This window comes from Homo sapiens, chromosome 7 (genome assembly GCF_000001405.40).
Source record: "Homo sapiens chromosome 7, GRCh38.p14 Primary Assembly".
NCBI classification, from domain to species: domain Eukaryota; kingdom Metazoa; phylum Chordata; class Mammalia; order Primates; family Hominidae; genus Homo; species Homo sapiens.
In genome coordinates, this window is record NC_000007.14 from 81,821,978 (window position 1) to 81,846,264 (window position 24,287).

Below are 24,287 nucleotides of genomic sequence, written 5' to 3' on the forward strand. Positions count from 1 at the left end.
TAATAACTATCTCATTCCATATGGTCTATTGTGATGGCACAATGCATTTATATGGATAGATAAAAAAGAAGTAATTGATTGCTATATCAATTATATGATCCTAAAAAGGCAAATTTGTATAGGCTGCTATATAATTAACTGCATTATTTATTTTCTATTAAGATGTTTTTATATTTTGCAAACTTAATCAGCTTTCAGTCTTATTTATGCACTGTACTGAATTATTTGTTTTTTTGTTTGTTTGTTTGTTTGTTTGTTTTTATAGAAACAAGGTCTTGCTCTATTGCCCAGGCTGTAGTGCAATGGTGCAATCAGAGCTTACTGCAGCCTCAACTTCCTGGGATCATGCATCCTCCCATCTCAACCTCCCAAGTAGCTGAGACTACAGGCATATTCCACAATAACCGGCTATTTTTTTTTTTTTTTTTTTTTTTTTGTGCAGACGGGGTCTTGCTATGTTTCCCAGACTATTTTCCCAGGTCTTGAACTCCTGGCTTCAATTGATTCCCCCACCTTAACCTCCCAAAGTGGTGGGATTACAGGTGTGAGCCACCATACCTGGCCTGTTTTTTTGTTTTGTTTTGTTTTGAATATATAATATTTATTTTTCAAGGCCATTTATTAATCCAGATACATAAAATAGTTTACATTTAGTATGTGTGTATAACATACACATGGGTAATTACCTATTTTCCACACCAGTATATACATACATGTACATCAATATACAAATTAATCTTCATTTATAATTTATGCTCCCTTATAAATTTGGAAATTAGCTTTCCAATGCTTATATCTATTCCTGTTGAGTCTGGGAACCTTGTCACAATTTATGTATTATGCTGCTATGAGGCTATATATGGAATATATAAAATTTATTTTCAAATGTCAACTGAACACTTTATAGATTTTTATTTCCTCCATCTCTTTCTGTAACCCTGTTACTTAAGTTATTAGTACAGCTGTCTGAGGGATCAGATTTAAGGCCTTCAAATGTTTCCTCGGTCTTAGAACAGATGCCTCAGGAGACTTTCCACCAGAAGGGTACATTGGATTAGCACAGCCTGTTTCTCTACCATATTCTTTAAGCAGAACTGACAGCCTCAAAATAAGAACAATTTTTCTTAGGATGTGTGTGGAATTTAAAGAGAGGACATACTTTCTCCTTACCAGTATGAAGGATACCAAAATAGTTTATCTAGAAAACAATTTCATACCATTCCAATGAATGAAAGGAGGTCAAATGAAATGCATAAATGTGTCAGGCTTCTATCAAATGTAATAGATGCTTACGAAATCAGAAGAGTGTTTTAATGGAGAAGGAAATTAGTGTATCATCTTAGTAGAGCTATCAATCCAGGCATAATTCTTTGGCATATGATAGCAATATTGAATGAACACACTGTGATCTGGTTTTGCCAGAACACATATGTCAATGTTTATTGATTAAGCGGCAGTGAAGTATCATAAGATCTGAGACAGAATCTTCAATTCCTTAGCAGAAGAATGGATTTAGTGAGGAATGCTGCACCTGCTACTTTTCACCAAGTGAGATTTAAGGATTTATTTTTTCTTTTACTCTGAACTGAGTATGTAGACTGGATTATGCCTAAGAATTGGAAGACACAATTCTAAGATGACAGGTAGAAATATGTCACAAGTTATAGAGAGTTAAGATTAACTCATGAAAAATAAATGGAAAAGGTAAGCAAAGTATAAATTATTTTATTGTACTTCTCTAATTGTATGAGAGGGGACATGTGTCTGAATATAAACTTGTGTTTGGACTACAAAAATCTTCATATTTGGCAAAGGAGTTTTTCATCATAGGACTGTAGCTTTTTTAGTCTGTGTTTCTGCCTCTGACTATACATTGTTTATGCACGCACTAGTTGAGCTAATGATATTGTTCAAACAATGAGATATTTTCCTACAGAGTGAAAATCAAGAAATCCCATGCAACCTGCACAGGCATTTTCATTTCATTATTTCAATAGCAACATGTACACTTTGATATCTGGACGGCAAAAAAATGTATCTAATTTTGACTTGTAAAGCATATCTAAAATTTCTGTTTACAAAGCTAAACCAAAGTCAATAATTTTTTTATTATTATTATACTTTAAGTTCTACGGTACATATGCACAACATGCAGATTTGTTACATATGCATACATGTGCCATGTTGGTTTGCTGCACCCATTAACTTTTCATTTACATTAGGTATATCTCCTAATGCTATCCCTCCCCCAGCCCCCCACCCCATGACAGGCCCAGTGTGTGATGTTCCCCTCCCTGTGTCCAAGTGTTCTCATCGTTCAATTCCCACCTATGAGTGAGAACATATGGTGTTTGGTTTTTTGTCCTTGTGATAGTTTTCTCAGAATGATGGTTTCCAGCTTCATCCATGTCCCTACAAAGGACATGAACTCATCCTTTTTTATGGGTGCATAGTGTTCCACGGTGTATAAGTGCCACATTTTCTTAATCCAGTCTATCATTGATGGACATTTGGGTTGGTTCCAAGTCTTTGCTATTGTGAATAGTGCCGCAATAAACATATGTGTGCAGGTGTCTTTATATTAGCATGATTTATAATCCTTTCGGTATATACCCAGTAATGGGATCGCTGGGTCAAATGGTATTTCTTGTTCTAGATCCTTGAGGAATCGCCACACTGTCTTCCACCATGGTTGAACTAATTTACACTCCCACCAACAGTGTAAAATTGTTCCTATTTCTCCACATCCTCTGCAGCATCTGTTGTTTCCCGACTTTTTAATGATCACCATTCTAACTGGCATGAGGTGGTATCTCATTGTGGTTTTGATTTGCATTTCTCTAATGACCAGTGATAGTGAGCATTTTTTCATGTGTCTGTTGGCTGCATACATGTCTTCTTTTGAGAAGTATCTGTTCATATCCTTTGCCCACTTTTTGATGGTTTTTTTTTCTTGTAAATTTGTTTAAGTTATTTATAGATACTGGATATTAGCCCTTTGTCAGATGGGTAGATTGCAAAAATTTTCTCCCATTCTGTAGGTTGCCTGTTCACTCTTCACTCTGATGGTAGTTTCTTTTGCCATGCAGAAGCTCTTTAGTTTAATTAGATCCCATTTGTCTATTTTGGCTTTTGTTGCCATGGCTTTTGGTGTTTTAGTCATGATGTCCTTGCCCATGCCTATGTCCTGAATAGTATTGCCTAGGTTTTCTTCTAGGGTTTTTATGGTTTTAGGTCTAACATGTAAGTCTTTAATTTATCTTGAATTAATTTTTGTATAAGGTGTAAGGAAGGGATCCAGATTCAGCTTTCTACTGATGGCTAGCCAGTTTTCTCAGCACCATTTATTAAATAGGGTATCCTTTCCCTATTTCTTGTTTTTGTCAGGTTTGTCAAAGATCAGATGGTTGTAGATGTGTGGTGTTATTTCTGAGGCCTCTGTTCTGTTCCATTGGTCTATATCTCTGTTTTGGTACCAGTACCATGCTGCTTTGGTTACTGTAGCCTTGTAGTACAGTTTGCAGTCAGGTAGCGTGATGCCTCCATCTTTCTTCTTTTTGCTTAGGATTGTCTTGACAGTGCAGGTTCTTTTTTGGTTCCATATGAACTTTAAAGTAGTTTTTCCCAGTTCTGTGAAGAAAGTCATTGGTAGCTTGATGGGGATGGCATTTTCACTATATTGATTCTTACTATCCATGAGCATGGAATGTTCTTCCATTTGTTTGTGTCCTCTTTTGTTTCATTGAGCAGTGGTTTGCAGTTCTCCTTGAAGAGGTCCTCCACATCCCCTGTAAGTTGGATTCCTAGGTATTTTATTCTCTTTGGAGCAGTTGTGAATGGGAGTTCACTCGTGGTTTGGCTCTCTGTTTGTCTGTTATTAATATACAGGAATGCTTGTGACTTTTGCACATTGATTTTGTATCCTGAGACTTTGCTGAAGTTGCTTATCAGCTCAAGGAGATATTGATTGGGCTGAGATGACAGGGTTTTCTAAATATACAATCATGTCATCTGCAAACAGGGGCAATTAGACTTCCTCTTTTCCTAATTGAATACCCTTTATTTCTTTCTCTTTCCTGATTGCCCTGGCCACAATTTCCAACACTATGTTGAATAGAAGTGGTGAGAGAGGGCATCCTTGTCTTGTGCTGGTTTTCAAAGGGAATGCTTCCAGTTTTTGCCCATTCAGTATGATATAGGCTGTGGGTTTGTCATAAGTAGCTTTTATTATTTTGAGATATGTTCCATCAGTACCTAGTTTATTGAGAGTTTTTAGCATGAAGGCTGTTGAATTTTGTCGAAGGCCTTTTCTGCATCTATTGAGATAATCAGGTGATTTTTGTCATTGGTTCTGTATATGTGATGGATTACGTTTATTGATTTGCATATGTCGAACCAGGCTTGCATCCCAGGGATGAAGCCAACTTGATCGTGGTGGATAAGCTTTTTGATGTGCTGCTGGATTCAGTTTGCCAGTATTTTATTGAGGATTTTCCCATCAGTGTTCATCAGGGATACTGGTCCAAAATTCTCTTTTTTTGTTGTGTCTCTGCCAGGCTCTGGTATCAGGATGATGCTGGCCTCATAAAATGAGTTACAGAGGATCCCCTCTTTTTCTATTGATTGGAATAGTTTCAGAAGGAATGGTACCAGCTCCTCTTTGTACCTATGGTGGAATTTGGCTGTGAATACATCTGGTCCTAGACTTTTTTTGGTTGGTAGGCTATTAATTATTGCCTCAATTTCAGGGCTTGTTATTGGTCTATTCACAGATTCAACTTCTTCCTGGTTTAGTCTTGGGAGGGTGTGTGTGTCCAGGAATTTATCCATTTCTTCTTTATTTTCTAGTTCATTTGCATAGAAATGTTTATAGTATTCTTTGATGGTAGTTTGTATTTCTGTGGGATTGGTGGTGATATCCCTTTTATCATTTTTTATTGCATCTATTTGATTCTTCTCTCTTTTCTTCTTTATTAGTCTTGCTAGCGCTCTATCGATTTTGTTGATCAGCTCCTGGATTCATTGATTTTTTGAAGGGTTTTTTTGTGTCTCTATCTCCTTCACTTCTGCTCTGATCTTAGTTATTTCTTGCCTTCTGCTAGCTTTAAAGTTTGTTCGCTCTTGCTTCTCTAGCTCTTTTAATTGTGATGTTAAGGTATCAATTTTAGATCTTTCCTGCTTTCTCTTGTGGGAATTTAGCGCTATAAATTTCACTCTACACACTGCTTTCAATGTGTCCCAGAGATTCTGGTACATTGTGTCTTTGTTCTCACTGATTTCAAAGAACATCTTTATTTCTGCCTTCATTTCATTATTTAGCCAGTAGTCATTCAGGAGCAGGTTGTTCAATTTCCATGTAGTTGTGAAGTTTTGAGTGAGTTTCTTAGTCCTAAGTTCTAATTTGATTGCACTGTGATCTGAGAGAGTGTTGTGATTTCTGTTCCTTTACATTTGCTGAGAAGTGCTTTACTTCCAATTATGTGGTCAATTTTAGAATAAGTATGATGTGATACTGAAAAGAATGTATATTCTGTTGATTTGGGGTGGAGAGTTCTATAGATGTCTATTAGGTCTGCTTGGTGCAGAGCTGAGTTGAAGTCCTGTATATCCTTGTTAAACTTCTGTTTCATTGATCTGTCTAATATTGACAATGGGGTGTTAAAATCTCCAAGTATTATTGTGTGGGACTCTAAGTCTCTTTTTAGGCATCTAATGACTTGCTTTATGAATCTGGGTGCTCCTGTATTGGGTGCACATATATTTAGGATAGTTAGCTCTTCTTGTTGAATTGATCCCTTTACCATTATGTAATGGCCTTCGTCTCTTTTGATTTTTGTTGGTTTAAAGTCTGTTTTATCAGAGAGTAGGATTGCAACCCCTGGTTTTTGTTTGTTTGTTTGTTTTCCATTTGCTTGGTAGATCTTCCTCCATCCCTTTATTTTGAGCCTATGTGTGTCTCTACACATGAGATGGGTCTTCTGAATAGAGCACACTGATGGGTCTTGACTCTTTATCCAATTTGCCAGTCTATATCTTTTAATTGGGGCATTTAGCCCATTTACATTTAAGGTTAATATTGTTATGTGTGAATTTAATCCTGTCATTATGATGCTAGCTGGTTATTTTGCCCATTAATTGATGCAGTTTCTTCTTACCATTGATGGTCTTTACAATTTGGCATGTTTTTGCAGTGTCTGGTACTGGTTGTTCCTTTCCATGTTTAGTGCTTCCTTCAGGAACTACCAAGGTAGGCCTGGTGGTGACAAAATCTCTTAGCATTTGCTTGTCTGTAAATGATTTTATTTCTCCTTCACTTATGAAGCTTAGTTTGGCTGGATATGAAATTCTGGGTTGAAAATTCTTTTCTTTAAGAATGTTGAATATTGACCCCCACTCTCTTTGGCTTGTAGCGTTTCTGCCGAGAGATCCGCTGTTAGTCTGATGGGCTTCCCTTTGTGGGTAACCCGACCTTTCTCTCTGGCTGCCCGTAACATTTTTTCCTTCATTTCAACTTTGGTGAATCTGACAATTATGTGTCTTTGGGTTGCTCTACTTAAGGTGTTCTCTGTATTTCCTGAATTTGAATGTTGGCCTGCCTTGCTAGGTTGGGGAAGTTCTCCTGGATAATATCCTGAAGAGTGTTTTCCAACTTGGTTCCATTCTCCCTGTCACTTTCAGGTACACCAATCAGACGTAGATTTGGTCTTTTCACATAGGTTTATATTTCTTGGAGGATTTTTTCATTTCTTTTTACTCTTTTTACTCTAAACTTGTCTTCTCTCTTTATTTCATTAACTTCATCTTCAATCACTGATACCCTTTCTTCCACTTGATCGAATTGGCTATTGAAGCTTGTGCATGCGTCACGAAGTTCTCATGCTATGGTTTTCAGCTCCATCAAGTCATTTAAGGTCTTCTTTATACTGTTTATTCTAGTTAGCCATTCGTCTTAACATTTTTTCAAGGTTTTTAGCTTCCTTGTGATGGGTTAGAACATGCTCCTTTAGCTCAGAGAAGTTTGTTATTACCAACCTTCTGAAGCCTACTTCAGTCAACTCATCATTCTCTTTGCAGCTTTGTTCCATTGCTGGCGAGGAGTGTGATCCTTTGTAGGAGAAGAGGCACTCTGGTTTTTAGAATTTTCAGCCTTTTTGCCCTGGTTTCTCCCCATCTTTGTGGTTTTATCTACCTTTTATCTTTGATGTTGGTGACCTGTAGATGGGGTTTTGGTATAGATGTCCTTTTTGTTGATGTTGATGTTGAAGTTAATCCTTTCTGTTTGTTAGTTTTCCTTCTAACAGTCACATCCCTCAGCTGCAGGTCTGTTGGAGTTTGCTGGAGGTTCACTCCAGACCCTGTTTGCCTGGGTATCACCAGCAGAGGCTGCAGAACAGCAAATAGTGCTGTCTCATCCTTCCTCTTGAAGCTTTGTCCCAGAGGGGCACTTGCCTATATGAGGAGTCTGTAGGCCCCTACTGGGAGATGTCTGCCAGTTAGGCTACATGGGGGTCCGGGACCCACTTGAAGAGGTGGTCTGTTCATTCTCAGAGCTCAAATGCTGTGCTTGGAGAACCACTCCTCTCTTCAGAGCTGTCAGACAGGGACGTTTATGTCTGCAGAAGTTGTCTGCTGCCTTTTGTTCAGCTATGCCCTGCCCACAGAGGTGGAGTCTATAGAAGTAGTAGGCCTTGCTGAGCTGTGGTGTGCTCTGCCCTGTTCAAGCTTCCTGGCTGCTTTGTTTACCTACTTAAGCCTCAGCAATGGCGGTCACACCTCCCCCAGCCAAACTGCCACCTTGCAGTTTGATCTCAGACTGCTACACTAGCAGTGAGCAAGGCTCTGTGGGCATGGGACCTGCCGAGACAGGCATGGGAGAGGATCTCCTTGTCTGCCGGTTGCTAATACCTTGGGAAAAGTGCAGTATTTGGGCAGAAGTGTCCTGTTTTTCCAGGTACGGTCTGTGACAGATTCCCATGGCTAGGAAAGGGAAATCCCCTGACCCCTTGCACTTCCCAGGTGAGGGGATGCCCTGCCCTGTTTCAGCTCGCCCTCTGTGGGCTGCACCCACTGTCCCACAGTCCCAATGAGATGAACCAAGTACCTCAGTTGGAAATGCAGAAATCACCCATCTTCTGCATCGATCATGCTGGGAGCTACAGACTGGAGCTGTTCCTATTCAGCCATCTTGAAATGGATCCCAAGAATTTTCTTTAAAGTAACAACAGGCTAAAGTAACAAATAGCAATAATAATCTTATACATGTATATGTATATGTATATGTATAGAAAGACACAATACTTATTGTTAATATGGGTCATTTGACTTCTGATTTCTAGTCCAACATATAAAGCACTTGGAAGTCATCATTATCACCCAGATATGAAAGAGGTTGAACAAACTGAAAATCAACAATTCTTAGCTCAATCAGACAATTGAGGTCACAAGTCAAACTATCCCTTGAAAACTGGAAAGATGGAGAAGTAGATTCAGAGAGTAACAGCTTACCTGAAGTGGAAGCCCAGGAACAGAACCCTGTAACTGGCATCAATATCAGGAGTAACATTTTAAACTAGAAGTGATGAATTGCTGGAGGTAGAATGTAAACTAACTTGAGAGTTAAAAACTCTGAGGTGTCAAAGTCTTAGAAAGACCTTTACATTTTTATGAGTTTTACCTCCAGATCCCCAATCAGGTTCCAACTTTAAAGATTTAAGAAAAATTACCTCTTGTTTTCAGCAGGGTGAAGGGAAGAGCAACTATTTTGGAACATACTCCAAGCTCTCTGTTCTCATCTAAAAGCTATAAAAACAAAATCATGTCATTTTCTGCCACATGGATTGAACTGGAGGACATTATATTAAGTGAAATAAGCCAGGCACAGAAAGATAAACATCATGTTTTCTCATTCATATGTAGGAACTAAAAAAATTGATCTCGTGAAAGTAAAGAGTAGAGTGGTGGTTATCAGACACTAGTGTAGGGGGTAAAGGAGTATGAAGGTTAATGGGTACAAAAATACAGTTAGCTAGAAGAAATATGTTCTAATCTTCGATAGCACAGTAGGACAACTATAGTTAACAATAATGTATTGTATATGTCAAAATACCTAGAAGAGAAGATTTAGAATGTTCCCAACACAAAGAAATGATAAACATTTGAGATGATGGATATCCCAGTTACCCTTATTTGATAGTTTCACATTGTATGCATGTATCAAAATATCACAAGTACCTCATAAATATATACAACTATTATAGCTATTATGTGTCAACTTTTAAAAAGGCCTGGCCCCAAGGAAACCATTTCATCAGAGAATAACTGGGGCTTTGCCAGACCCTAATCAACCAGAGAGAAGGGAAATGCCCAACTCAGGCTCACTAAAAGACTGAGACCTTATCACAGGCTTGTAGAACACCTCCCCACCTACCTTACCAACACATAAATAACACAACTATATAACAGGAATGTAGCTAAAAGAACTACAAGCTCCAGACCGTATTTAAGTAGTCTCTAGGAAAACCTAAGAATCACAGGGGAGGCAAAATCATGGACGTTAAAGAAAATGTTAGTTTCTGACACCAAAGCTATAGCAAAGCTGAACACGGCCTAACCCTCAGACAGAAAAACATAAAACTTCACACTGAAGACCTTTCTATATCAGTTCCTTTTGGCATGTAATCATGTCATGCTTTCAATGAAAAATTACAAGGCATGCTAAAAGACAAAAATTACACTTTGATTAGGCAAAGCAAGCATCAGAAAGACAACCAGATATAGCAAAGGTTTTAGAATGATCACATTGGGAATTTAAAATACCTATGATTAATATGCTAATAGCTCTAATGGAAAAGTAAGCAAGTTACAAGATAATGGGTACCATAAACAAAAAGATAACAATTCTAAGAAAGGATCAAAAGAAAATGCTAGAAATGAAGAGTCCCTTTGATTGGTTCATCAATAGACTGGACACAGTTGTAGAGCAAATCAGTAACCTTGAATATGTGTCAATAGAAACCTCTAAAACTGAAATGCAAAGAGAAAAAAATAATGAAAAAGATAGAATAGAATTTCCAATTACTGAGATAAATACAAAAGGTATAACATATGTATAATGGAAATGCCAGAGAAAAGAGTAAAAAAAAATTCATGTAGTCATGGCTGAGAATTTTCCAAAATTAATGACACCAAGCCATAGATCTAGAAAGCTAAGAAAACATCAAGCCAAACAAATTTCAAAAATTCTATACCTAGGTACATCATATTCCAACTACAGAAAATCAAAGACAAAGAGAAAATCTTAAAGAAGGTAGAGGGGAAAAATACTATCTTACCTACTTTGGAATAGGGATTAGAATTACAATTATATTCAGAAACCTCAGAAAGCATCCAAAGAAAAAGAACATGGAGAGAAATATTTAAAGTATTTTTTAAAAACACCATCAACATAAAATACTGTATCCAGAAAAATTACCCTTCAAAAGTAAAAGAGAAATAAAGAGTCTCTCAGACAAACAAAAATGGATAGCATTTATCAGTGGTAGATCTGCTGTGCAAGAAATGTTAAGAGAACTACTTCAGGGAGAAAGAAATTATATAGAAACACAAAGCTATATAAAAGAAGAGCATTCAAGAAACTCAAAGCTGTATAAAGGAAGCATTAGAGAAAGCTTTATAAGCTATATAAAGGAAGTATTAGAGAAACTCAAAGCTATAAAAAGGAAGAGCATTAGAGAAGGAGTAAGTGAAGGTAGTACAAAATCTTTCATTTTTCTCATTCTTAATTGATTTAACAGATGACATATTGTCCAAAATAATACAATGTACTTGACCATTATAGCTTATGGAAAAGTAAAATTAATGACAGCAAGATTATAAGGGATGGGATGAAAGAATTGGGAAGATCCTGTTATAAGGTACTTGCATTACCCATGAAGCAATATAGTTTTATTTGAAGCTGAATTTGGGTTACTGGTAAATATATGATGCAAACTCTAAGGCAAAAATGGGCTAGCCATTTTACATCAATTAACTTACATATTTTAACCCTTCATAGTAGACATGTGCATTGTTTTATAGATGTGAAATTCAGCATAGATTCAGAAGAAACATTTCAGAAAATATTTTTTCTAGACAGGAAAACTAAGGGACATACAAATTTTCAATTTACTCAAGTACTAAGTGGAGGACCCATAATTTTAACCTCCATCAGCTTTCAAATCCTGTAATTTCTACCACAGGCTCATGATGCTTCCCATTTGTGAGCTGTCATTGAAATATGAACCAAATTGCAAACTCATGATTAAATGGTCAAAGAAAATCGAAGCAAAAGTGATAATACATATTTTTTAAAAATGATACCAATATAAGAAATATGTTTGGAAGTAGCAAATGTCCTTTGCACATTGGAATTAAATAAATGATAGTGATAAGGAGTACATATCCAAAATAGTCCAATTATTTACATTCCAGGAATAGTGCTGTTATCAATCAACTTAAAGCTATAAAACTTTAAAGTTTGGAAAACTGAATTCAATGTCCTAGAGAGGCATGTCTTCATTCAATCTGTCTCTGAGCTAAACATTCCTGTGGTATTTCTTCTTGAGGGGAAAGTCATGACTTGCATTTTCTACCTGCTACTCTGAGAAATATTTCCAGATTGGTGGTCCATGCTTGCAAAATATTTCTCTTGGCCCACAAGAGTTTTAAAAAAAATCACTTGGCAAGATTAAAAGTCACAAGATACTAAACAAGAATACATGTTTACCACATTTTGCTAAGAATTTAAGGGTCCCAAGAATGAAGTCCCCATGTTTATTGGAGTAGTTGCCCCATAACTAGGGCAGTACCCAGTCCACCACACACTTCACCAGTTCTTACTGCCTTTTCCACACTAAGGAAGGCCAAGCAGCAGTTGTCATTTAGTATCTTGTGGTTCTTTCTTTGTTTTTCTTTCTCTGTCTTTTTCTCTTTTTAATTCTGGGTCCACTTCACTCCTTTACATTACAAACCTGGCACCTCAGGCTATTAAATTTGTCCTGAAACTGTATGTCACTATGTCTCATAAAATTTCATATCCAGAACTAAGCACAATAGACCACTTTTAGACCACCCTCTTTGATTCTGATGTTATATTGCTATATAAAAATAAAAATTGCATTACATTTTTTGACATCCCAAGTAAGCTTACAGTGAATTCACCATCAAGTAAAATTCTCAAGGCTGAAGCCCTGCATGCCACACAGCTGGAATTCCTTGAAAACCACCTGCAGACTCAACATTTCCCTACATCCTAGTGGGATACTTGGAGCTCTAGCTAACTGTGAGACTAAACATAAGTCACCCCTGCAATGACCCACAGCTATGTTCTAATAACAGCTTTTACCTTATTCTCACTTGAATCTTTATTCTGATGATTTGATCTTTGCCTATTTATTAATACCTATGCAGAAGCTCCTGCTTTATATTTTGCCATATCAGTACATGTGCCTGGTCCCTACACCCTAGCAGAGTAACTGATACTGTTACTGGCTTTAGACAGCAAGCTTGTGTCTATTTCAAAATGAATCTTATGGCTAGATTTGCCTGTTAGTCTGACATTGCCTTTTACCATTGTTTCTGTTCTATCTCTTGGGTGGATGTGCCAGCCCCTGCAAAGGACTCTCATCCCCCAAAGTCAACCCTGTATCTAGCAGACAGGGCCAGATGAAGTTCCTAGGCATTAATACTTATCTGCATGGTGCTCTGTTAAATATATCACACTTACTTTTTTGTGCAAATAGTTAAGTGATTCTTTGTACTGTAACAGTTAAAATTTGTTTTAATTATAAATAATAATATATATCAGTGGTATACTCAGTAATGTAAGTATACTGTATAACTAGTTTTATATTAGCATAGTGTTACATTCCCAAAATTTTCACAAAAGACCTTTACACGGTTCACGTTTTCCAAATGTTCTTTCCTTTCAATTACCATCAACCTCCATGCTGCTCACTTTAGCACTAAACTACAGCTGATGCTTGGAATTTTTGAACCAAGAACTTTACAAATGTTCCTACCACATTTACCGAAATTCTTCCTTTCACTTTATAAACCCCTTTCAACCTTGATTTAGTCACTCAGCATTTTACTTATGAATTCTAGTTTTAAAGCTTCTGAAATATAGATAATTATCCCCTGATTATCTACAAAGTAAAGCAAACTTGGATAGCGACTTGTGGCTCTCCTCTATAAATAATTCTCTGGGTTAATATTTTAATGTTCAAAGGTAAATTTGAATTGCGGCATTTTAAAACTCTTAGTTACAATTTATTAATCAATAAAATCAAATAGTTCAGGCAGAAATGATAAGAATCTGGTATAAGTGGTCTAACTAAATATTTGAGTTGTAGAATTCACAGAACTTGCTAACAACCCCATGCCACTCCATAGAAGGTACCAAGTTCAAATAGTCCCCTAGATAAATTTTGAAAAACATTAAACTTTTCCAAAACACACACCAGTGGATTTCAACCGGAGGTGATTGTTTGCCAAAGGACATTTGTCAATGTCTGAAAAACTTTTTTGATTGTTACAACTGGGCAAGGTGACAGGAAGTGGGGTTAGGTGTTCCTAATGGCTTCTAGTAGGTACAGGCTAGATATGCTGCTCAACATTTTGTCACACATAGGACAGCCCCTACAGCAAAAAATTATCAACCCCATAATCAAAAGTGCCAACGTTGAGAAACCCTGGCATAGAGAAAAATAATGATTAGAAAGCACATTCTTAGTTTATATTCAAAGAGAAATGAAATTCCAAAACTAAAAACTACCAAAATGGCTATAACAAAATTATGTGTAAAGCCTACTTACAATTGTCTATGCAAATGCTACAATAAAGTATGAACGATTCTAATGCTCTTACTGAAATAATAATCATGAAAAAGGTTTTATTTCATAAGCAGATGGATAATTCAACAAAAGCAATCTGATGATAATATCTCATTTTATTAAACAATAAAAACAACTAGATCTCAATACATCCCAAACAGCATTTCAAAAAAATTAATATACAATTCTAATTTAAAAATTCAATTCTCATGCCTATAATCCCAGCACTTTGGGAGGCTGAGGTGGGCAGATCACGAGGTCAAGAGATTGAGACCATCCTGGCCAACATGGTGAAAGCCTGTCTCTACTAAAAGTACAAAATTAGTTGGGCATGGTGGTGCACACCTGTTGTCCCAGCTACTCAGGAGGCTGAGGCAGGAGAATCACTTGAACCCGGGAAATGGAGGTTGCAGTGAGCCGAGATCGCGCCACTGCACTCCAGACTGGTGACAGAGCAAGACTCTGTCTCAAAAAAAATAATAAATAAATGAATAAATAAATAAATAAACAAGCAATCCTAGTCTAGTGATTGAAATAATCTTTATTAATATGGTAAAAAGCATTTGTGTATGTGTGTGTGTTTATAATTAGGGATTATACTCCATAATGTAAAGTCTATATACTTGATATAAAAACATGCACAAAATCATGTTGAATAATGAACTACTAGAGGCATTTCTGTTAAAATTAGAAATTTAAAAGTGTGAAAATTACCAGTATATTAGGTTATATTCTATAATGTAATAAGACAAGAAAATATGTATTAACATGAGTTTTATACGGAAGAGACAAAACAAGCAGTACCTACAGATAATATTATTGAATGCCTAGAAAATTCAAGAAGATAGATTCCAATGATTGAAAGAATACAAAAAAAATTATTAAAGCAATATTTTAAAAATTATAAATTTACTTAATTCAAGAAATAACCAACTTATCACAAGTTAAAATGCCTTATTTGATTCACACTGATAATCAAGATAATAAGCTTAAAATAGAGGCTATCTTTTGCTTTTGATTACCCACTCTCTCTTCCTCCCCTTCCTATGGCAACATCCCAATTTTATGGTGCAGAACTAAAGATGCCCCTCACATGCTGCTATCTAGATCTTCAGAGTTACTCTGGCCATCTATTTTTCCTAAATTCATTATTTTTCTTTGTTTATAGAGATACCCTATAAAGGTTCAATTGATTTGAAATTGTTTGTTACGGTAATTTTAGTGATTATAACCAAAGAACTAAACAAGTGAGATATGAAGGAGCAAAGGAGAGAAAATTTCAATGACAAAAACAAACTCAAACGTGAATTATTGGGTTTATATTGTGCCTGGATGGAGAGACCTAATCAGTAAAGGTGTAAGTTTTTTTTGCAAATAATGATTACAATTCCATGTTATCACAATTCCGCTATTAGGATGTGACCCTTAACTATTTAATATGGTATTTTATTTTTAAAATAAATTCCAGAAAATAGGGCAATTTTTAGAGGTATAATGCAAAGGATCTGCCTATCAGATAATAAAACAAATCAGATAAGCCCTTTTTATTGCAGGAAGAAGCCAAAATAAACAGAGATGAACAGACATAAAAAGAAATTATAGCAATAACTTCACATATAATAAAATTATAATTGAAAACCTGTAAAAAACATTCAAACAAATGAAGTTAACCCCCTCCCATGTTGCACACACACATACATACACACACACACGGACACACATACACAAATGTATTCCAGTTTGATTAAAGGTTTAGATTTACGTACGAAACCATAAAATCTTAAGAAAATTCAGGAGACTATTTTTATCTATTTTAAGCTTATGATAATAAGCTTAAAATAGATGTTATCTTTTGCTTTTGATTACCCACTCTCTCTTCCTCTCCCTCCTATGGCAACATTCCTACTTAATGTAGGGAGAGTCTGTATTTGTAAAAAGAAATCTAGGTCAGACATTAGAAAGGGAAGGACTGATAGATCTGTTAACATAGAAATATAGAAATAAAAATCCTACACTGTATGACAAAAGTCACCACTAAGAAGGTTAAAAAACATACTTGACAAATGCTACTATGTTTTACCTCATTAATAATCCAAGAATTACGGTTTTAACCAACCAATCAAACTGAGGACAATTGCAGAGGCCTAGTGATAACGACATTCCAAATACTGTTGATATAAATTAGAACATTTCTGTAGCACAATTTGGTAAAAAGATTTTAAATTCTGAGTGCACAACAATTTCTATTCAGTGAATTTATGTCTAGGAATTTTTTAAAAGGAAATAATTTGACAAGTCTGAAAAAACACATCTATGCTTGTTTCTTGAAACATTATAGCTATAATTTGGAAACAACCTGAATGACCATCAGTGATGGATTTTTCATGAACAAAGTATAACACAACCATACAGGAAAATATTATACAGTCATTAAAAAGTTTAACTTATGACTACAGTTAATGAACAGATGTTTAAAAGACAGGAAGTAAAATAAAGCATGTTGTTATATCAAGTGTATAGACTACGTTATGGAGTATAATTTCTAATTATTAAAACAAAGTCTGGAAGAATACACATAAAATGATTAATCACTGAGGGATAAGAAATTAGAATATTTAATTTAGTTTTATTTCATACATTTTTATACTGCTTGAATTTTTCACACAGATCAAACATTATCTTCATCATTGTAACATACTTTAATATCAGTTCAATTGTGAAAAAAAAATTGGTTCAAAAAAAATAATTCATACATTTGGGCCTAATAATTTCACTTTTAATAGTTGATCCAAAGAAAAGAATTCAAAATAAGAGAAGTCTACAGAACTATCTTATTGGATCATAATTTATAATTGTAAAATATTAAAACCAGCTTATATGTCCAACAATAAGAGATTATACCATTTCATAAATATTATGAAGCCATTAAAATGCAATTAGGAAGATTTGCAGAAACCTGACCCAACATATTTGACAAATAATCGGTACAAAAGCAGGATACAAAGTATATGTTTATAAACATTAGAAATGTTTGCATATACATGGTAGATTTAAACAGGCATATTAAAGTTGAACAGCATTTTTGTTACTATGTATATGTGTTTCATAGTTAAACTCTTCATAATATCATTTACTTTATTTCATGAAAAAATTTTTAGAATGAGACATGCTTTGTTTGTTTTCATTAAGCCTCTTTGGCTGATCAGTGAACTCTGAAGACAATCAGTTTATCATTGATTCTATATTGCTATTTCATATCACATCTCACAGTTAGTGATTATGCATTGACTTGTATGTTATTGGCTTACAATCCTTACAAACTTAATTACATATTCGTAAGTTCTATTTTTTTCTCATTTCACTCACTAGATTCTATGTAATGTGAGGACAGCTACTATAAATTACTTACACACTTTTTTTCTTTTTTTTTTGTTTTTCAACTTTTATTTTTGGTTCAGTGGGCACAGGTGCAAGTTTCTTAAATGGGTAAATTGTATGTTGCTGAGGTTTGGTATACAAATAATTCCCTCACCCAGGGAGTGAGCGTAGTACCTGATAAGTATCTTTTCACTCCATGCTATGCTACCGCTGTCCCACCTAAAGTGGTCCCCAGTGTCTATTGTTCCCATCTTTGTGTCTATGGGTATTCAATATTTAGCTCTCACTTATAAGTGAGAACATGCAGTATTTGGTTTTCTGTTCCTGCATTAATTCTCTGAGAATAACAGCCTCCAGCTGCATTCATATTGCTGCAAAGGACGTGATTTCATTATTTTGTATGGCTGCGTAGTATTCCATGGTGTATGATACAGTTTGGCTGTGTCCCCACCCCAATCTCATTTTGAGTTATAGCTCCCATAATTCCCATGTGCTGTGGGAGGGACCCAGTGGGACATAATTGAATCACAGGGGCGGTTTCCCCCATACTGTTCTCATGGTGGTAAATAAGTCTCACAGATCTGATGGTTTTCAAAGGGAAACCCCTTTCACTTGGTTATCACTTTCTCTTGCCAGCCACCACATAAGATATGCCTTTCACCTTCTGCCATGATTGTGAGGTCTCCCCAGTCATGTGGAACTGTAAGTCTATTAAACCTTTTTTTCTTCTTAAATTACCCAGTCTCAGGTGTGTTTATCGGGTATGTTTCAGCAATGCGAAAATGAACTAATACAGTATATATGAACCACATTTTCTTTATCTAATCCATTGCTGATGGACAACTAGGTTGATACGATGTATTTGCTATTGTGAATAATGCTGCAATGAACATATGAGTTCATGTATATTTTTGGTAGGAAGATTTATTTTTGTTTGGGTATATACCCAGTAACGAAACTGGTGAGTCAAATGGTAGTTCTGTCTTAAGTTCTTTGAGAAATCTCCACACTGCTTTCTACTGTGGCTGAACTAATTTACATTTCCACCAGTAGTGTATAAGTGTTCCCTTTTTTTCGAAACCTCACCAGCATCTGTTATTTTTTTTTTTTTTACTTTTTAATAGCAGCCATTCTTACTGGTGTGAGATGGCATCTTATAGTGGTTTTGATTTGATTTCTCTAATGATTAGTGATCATGAGCATTTTTAAATATATTTATTGGCCACATGTATGTCTTCTATTGAGAAGTGTGTCTATTCATGCTCTTTACCTATTTTTTAATGAACTTGTTTGGTTTTTGCTTGTTGAGTTGTTTAACTTCCTTATAGATTCTGGATATCAGACCTTTGTTAGTTGTATAGTTTGCGAGTATTTTCTCCTATGCTGTAGATCTCTGTTTACTCTGGTGATAGTCTCCTTTGAGGTGCAGAATCTCTTTTTAGTTAATTAAATTCCACTTGTCAATTTTCGTTTTTGTTGCAATTGCTTTTGAGGACTTAGTTGTAAATTCTTTGCCAATGCCAATGTCTGAAATGGTATTTCCTAGGTTTTATCCTAGGGTTTTATAATTTTAGGGCTTACATTGAAGTCTTTAATCCATTTTAAGTTGACTTTTTTATATGGTGAAAGGAAGGGGTTCAGTTTCAATCTTCTGCATATGGCTAGCCAGTTATCCCAGCACTACTTATTGAATAGGGAGTCCTTTTCCCTTTGGTTGTTATTGTTGACTTTGTCAAAGATCAGATGTTTGCAGGTGTGTCGCTTTTCTTCTGGGTCCTCTATCCTGTTCCACTGCTGAAAGAAATCAGAGACAACAAAAAACAAAGGAAAAAATATTCCATGCTCATGGATAGGAAGAACAAGTATTATTGAAAGGTCCATACTGCCCAAAGTAATTTACAGATTCAATGCTATTCCTATCAAACCATCAATGTACACCGAATTAGAAAAAACTATTCTAAAATTCATATGAAATCAAGAGTCTGAATAGTCAAAGCAATCCTAAGCAAAAAGAACAAAGCCAGAGGCATGGTACTTATACAAAACAGGCACATGGATTTACACTATTTTCTAATAAATGTCTTATAATATTTCCACATGTACACCTAATATGGTTAGGCTCTATGTTCCCACCCAAATCTCATCTTGCATTGCAATCCCCATAATCCCAATAATCCCCACATGACAAGGGAGAGATCAGATGGAGGTAATTGAATCATAGGGAGTGGTTTCCCCCATGCTGTTCTCACGATAAGTGAGTTCTCAGGAGATCTGATGGTGGTTTCATAAGGGGCTCTTCCCCCTTAGCTTGGCACTTCTTCCTACTGCCTTGTGAAGAATGTGCCTTGCTTTCTCTTTGCTTTCCACCATGGTTGTAAGTTTCTTGAGGCCTCCCAGCCAGGCTGAATTGTGAGTCAATTAAACTCTTTTCCTTTATAAATTACCCAGTCTCAGGCCATTCTTTCCAGCCTATGAAAATGGACTAATACAACACCTAAACAAGATTAATCTCTTAGACAAAATATTAACCAGACAAGATAAATATATTTATAAAAAGAAGAAAGGAGCACAGCAAAAGAAAAAAAAAACTTAAAGCAACAACAGCAACACAGTTAACAGGTACCGTACTTTATTAGGTACCAGGCACTGTGGTAGGCACTTTACATCCATTAACTCCTTTAATAATCGTAACAACCTTGTGAAGTAGGTACTGTTGGTCAACAGTAATTTACAGATAGAAAATACAAAACAAAACAAAATGAGTCACAGAGTTAGGAATCATAGAGTTAGGAAATCTAGATACAAACCCAGGCAGTCTGGGGCCTTCTTGCTCCCAAATCTGCATCATTTACCAAGGGTGTCATGTAATATAGCCCTTTGTTATTGTTATTAAACCATATTTCAATTACCATTATGTAATATATTACATTGAATATGCCATCTTAAAAAAACTCTTGCATATATGCATATATATCACACATAGTGTTAAAACTGTACTATTTATAATTTCTCTAGGCTTTCGTGAAGCACTCACAGGCGTTTATCTCAGAATCCATTGTGATCTATTGAAACTGTAGTTTAAGGTCTAATTAATAATTTTCTGTGAAAAACTATTAGATAGTATTTTTTAATGTGATTCCAAAGTGTCCTTTAAAATGGAGAAGCAAAATTTCACATATCTAACTTACACAGAATTTAGACTATTTGGGTATTTCATCTGTCTTCATTGTTTTTTTTTTTTTTTTTTAATTTGAGACAGACCGAGTAAATAAAACTAGGAATTGTAAGATACGATTGGTCCTTGTTTTTCCTGAACCATCTTAATGGATTCCTGGCAGTGGAACAGGAATTTCCATTATATAGAGGGCAGCAGTCACTAATTCTACTTAAAGCCAACCAACTGAAAGAGTTTGGTCAAAAGAAACATGTTGTAAAGTTGCTTGCAGTGCAGCACCAAAAGTATTTTCAGAGAGACAAAATGATTGTTTTAGCAGGTAGGTTCTTCCACAGCTTGAAAATGTGTTTTTCACTTGTACTTCCTACGCTATTGGTAATTTGGGAACTTTACTAATTAAGCTTTTTGCCTACTGTCAATGCAGTACAAAGTCAAGCTATTAAGCTATAAACTGTAAAAGCTGTAAAAATGATTAAATCATACAGCTTAGAGATAATTCTCTACAAACTTAGGCATAAATTCATAAGTTCTTTTTTCCCATTTTAAAATGGTTTGAGGCTATTGTGTAGCTATAGCTAGAATAGTTTCTATCTAATCTGACATTATTGTATTGTTTTGGTACATTTAACAATAAAGAATATAATAATCTTTTCAACAAACTTAGCATCGGTAGTATGAGACATTAGCAATCTGAAAAATACTCATATTTTAATACCTCTTTTAGGTCAATCGAAAAGAAAATAACGTTTGATTGTTTTGTTATGTATGGCAATTGACGGTTTGTTTTGTTTTTTCTTATTTGAAGAGCTCTGTGCCTTCTATAAAGAGGGACTCATGCTCAGGAATACTCTAAGTATAAGAGAAGATAATACACATAAGGAGAACTATGGAAAGTATAACATAAGCAAGATATTCTTCTTCATCTTTCTTATGGCTTAATTCTTTATTTTTTTGAATTATATTACATATCCCTATGCCTTTTCTTCTGCCTAAATATCAAGCTTCCTTCCCTTCATCCCACATAAGGTATATTTTCCATCAGTCATTAATCATTGTAGCCATTCAATCAGTCTACTTGGGATACGGTGAGGGAACTTCCATCGTATTCACATTTTAAAAAAATTATACTTTAAGTTCTGTGATACATGTACAAAACCTGCAGGTTTGTTACATAGGTACACACGAGCCATGGTGGTTTTCTGCACCCGTCAACTCGTCATCTATATTAGGTATTTCCCCTAATGCTATCGTCCCCAGCCCCTCACCCCACAACAGGCCCCAGTGAGTGGTGTTCCCCTCCCTCTGTCCATGTGTTCTCATTGTTCAATTCCCACTTATGAGTGACAACATGAAGTGTTTGGTTTTCTGTCGCTGTGTTAGTTTGCTGAGAGTGATGCTTTCTAGCTTCATCCATGTCCCTGCAAAGACATGAACTCATCCTTTTTTATGACTGCGTAGTATTCCATGGTGTACTCATCCTTTTCTGTGGCTGCATAGTATTCCATGGTGTATATGTGCCACATTTTCTTTATCCAGTCTATCATTGATGGGCATTTGGGTTGGTTCCAAGTCTTTGCTATTGTGAAAAGTGCTGCAGTAAACATACATGTGCATGTGTCTTTACAGTAGAGTGATTTATAATTCTTTAGGTATACACTCAGTAATGGGATTGCTGTGTCAAATGGTATTTCTGGTTCTAGATCCTGGAGGTATCGCCACACTGTCTTCCACAATGATTGAACTAATTTACACTCCCACCAACAGTGTAAAAGCTTTCCTATTTCTCCACATCCTCTCCAGCATCTGTTGTTTCCTGACTTTTTAATGATTGCCATTCTAACTGGCATGAGATGGTATCTCATTGTGGTTTTGATTTGCATTTCTCCAATGTCCAGTGATGATGAGTTTTTCGTATGTTTCTTGGCTGCATACATGTCTTCTTTTGAGAAGTGTCCATTCATAACCTTTGCCCACTTTTTGATGGGGTTTTTTTTTTCTTGTAAATTTGTTTAAGTTCTTTGTAGATTCTGAATATTAGCCTTTTGTCAGATGGATAGGAAGAATCAATATCGTGAAAATGGCCATACTGTCCAAAGTAATTTATAGATTCAATGCTATCCCCATCAAGCTACGACTGACTTTCTTCACAGAATTAGAAAAAACTACTTTAAATTTCATATGAAACAAAAATGAGCCCATATAGCCAAGACAATTCTAAGCAAAAACAAACAAACAAAAAAACAAAGCTGGAGGCCTCATGGTACCTGACTTCAAACTATTCTACAAGGCTACAGTAACCAAAACAGCATGTTACTGGTACCAAAACAGATATATAGACCAGTGGAACAGAACAGAGGCCTCAGAATAATGCCACACATCTACAACCATCTGATCTTTGACAAATCTGACAAAAGCAAGCAATGGGGAAAGGATTCCCTATTTAATAAATGGTATTGTGAAAACTGGCTAGCTATAAGCAGAAAACTGAAACTGGATCCCTTCCTTACACCTTATACAAAAATTAACTCAGATGGATTAAAGACTTAAATTGTAAGACCTAAAATGATAAAAACCCTGGAAGAAAACCTAGGCAATACCATTCAGGACATAGGCATGGGCAAAGACTTCATGACTAAAACATCAAAAGCAATGGTGACAAAAGCCAAAATTGACAAATTGGATCTAATTAAACTAAAGAGCTTCTGTAGAGCAAAAGAAACTATTATCAGAGTGAACAGGCAACCTATAGAATGGAAGCAAATTTTTGCAATCAAAGTTTTAATTATCTTATGTTTAAACAATGGAAGAAGATATGTTACCAATTCACAATGTAATATTCTCATCATAAAACACAACATATCTAGTTACATTAAACTATCTGTGATTTGATACTTTTTTGGGAGGAAGGTATTTAAATTTATGTCTCATTCCCCAAATAGAACCAGTTTGATTCACAGTAAGAAATATAAGGTAATATTAAAACACCTTTTGGAATCAGAAAGAACGGAGTTCCAATTCTTTTTTTGCCATTTTGTGTTCATGGGATTACTATTAACTACTTAACCTTTCTTAAACATCAGTTTCCTTATCTGTCAAATGGACACAGCAAGAAAAGCTCTTAAATTGTTATGAGGCTCAATATACTGCTGTCTCTGTGAGATGTTTAGTAAACTTTCTATGTGAGATATTTAGTGTGTTTGTTTCTATAACAATTAAACTCAACTCCTCTTTGGACAGCTATTTGGTTAAGTCCTAAATTATCTTCTTTAATGATACCTATATGATAAGAGTTATAAACTTTCTGTCTTAAGTGACCAAATTATATGTAAAACAAAACTTTGAAAAAGTTCAAAATGATATGGTATTGGAGACTTAGATGTATCTCACAGACTAATTTGGATTCATGAAGTTTCGCTTCCTCTTTCACTCCACTTGCAACCAAGAGATGATAACCGAAGAGAGATATAAAAAATGTTTACAGTTTAGTTTATCCTCTCATGTCCTTCATTAACGTACTGTGGGTGTTGTTCTTTTAAAAGGCCAAGGTTCATGGTTCTGTTTTTTAATTGCAATTCAGTCTTTCCTCCTTCTTCCAGGAGCATCGGCTTTATCATTGCTTGTGAGATTTACAGCGCTTCTTTCCATCGTCAGCTTGCTAATAGGCAGTTGTTGAACTCCCCAGAGTCTAAACTAGGAAATATGAGCAGTATGTAATTGCTACAGCTGGAATCGCATTCCACTTCAGAAGCTTCTTAACAGCATTCTCAGATGTGTGAATATCCATTAGTGACCCAAGGGGATTACTCCCTGGCACCAAGTATACCTTTATGAGGGGTCTGGATGATGAGACTTTCCCCTCCCAT

General features: G+C 35.6%; 1 annotated feature.

Moving 5' to 3' along the window:
• Positions 23,776–23,855: an enhancer, noted in NCBI's record as "active region_26211". NCBI's record gives its function as "activates an Ori minimal core promoter by ATAC-STARR-seq in GM12878 lymphoblastoid cells {active_cell/tissue: GM12878}" and the evidence as "EXISTENCE:reporter gene assay evidence [ECO:0000049][PMID:35858748]".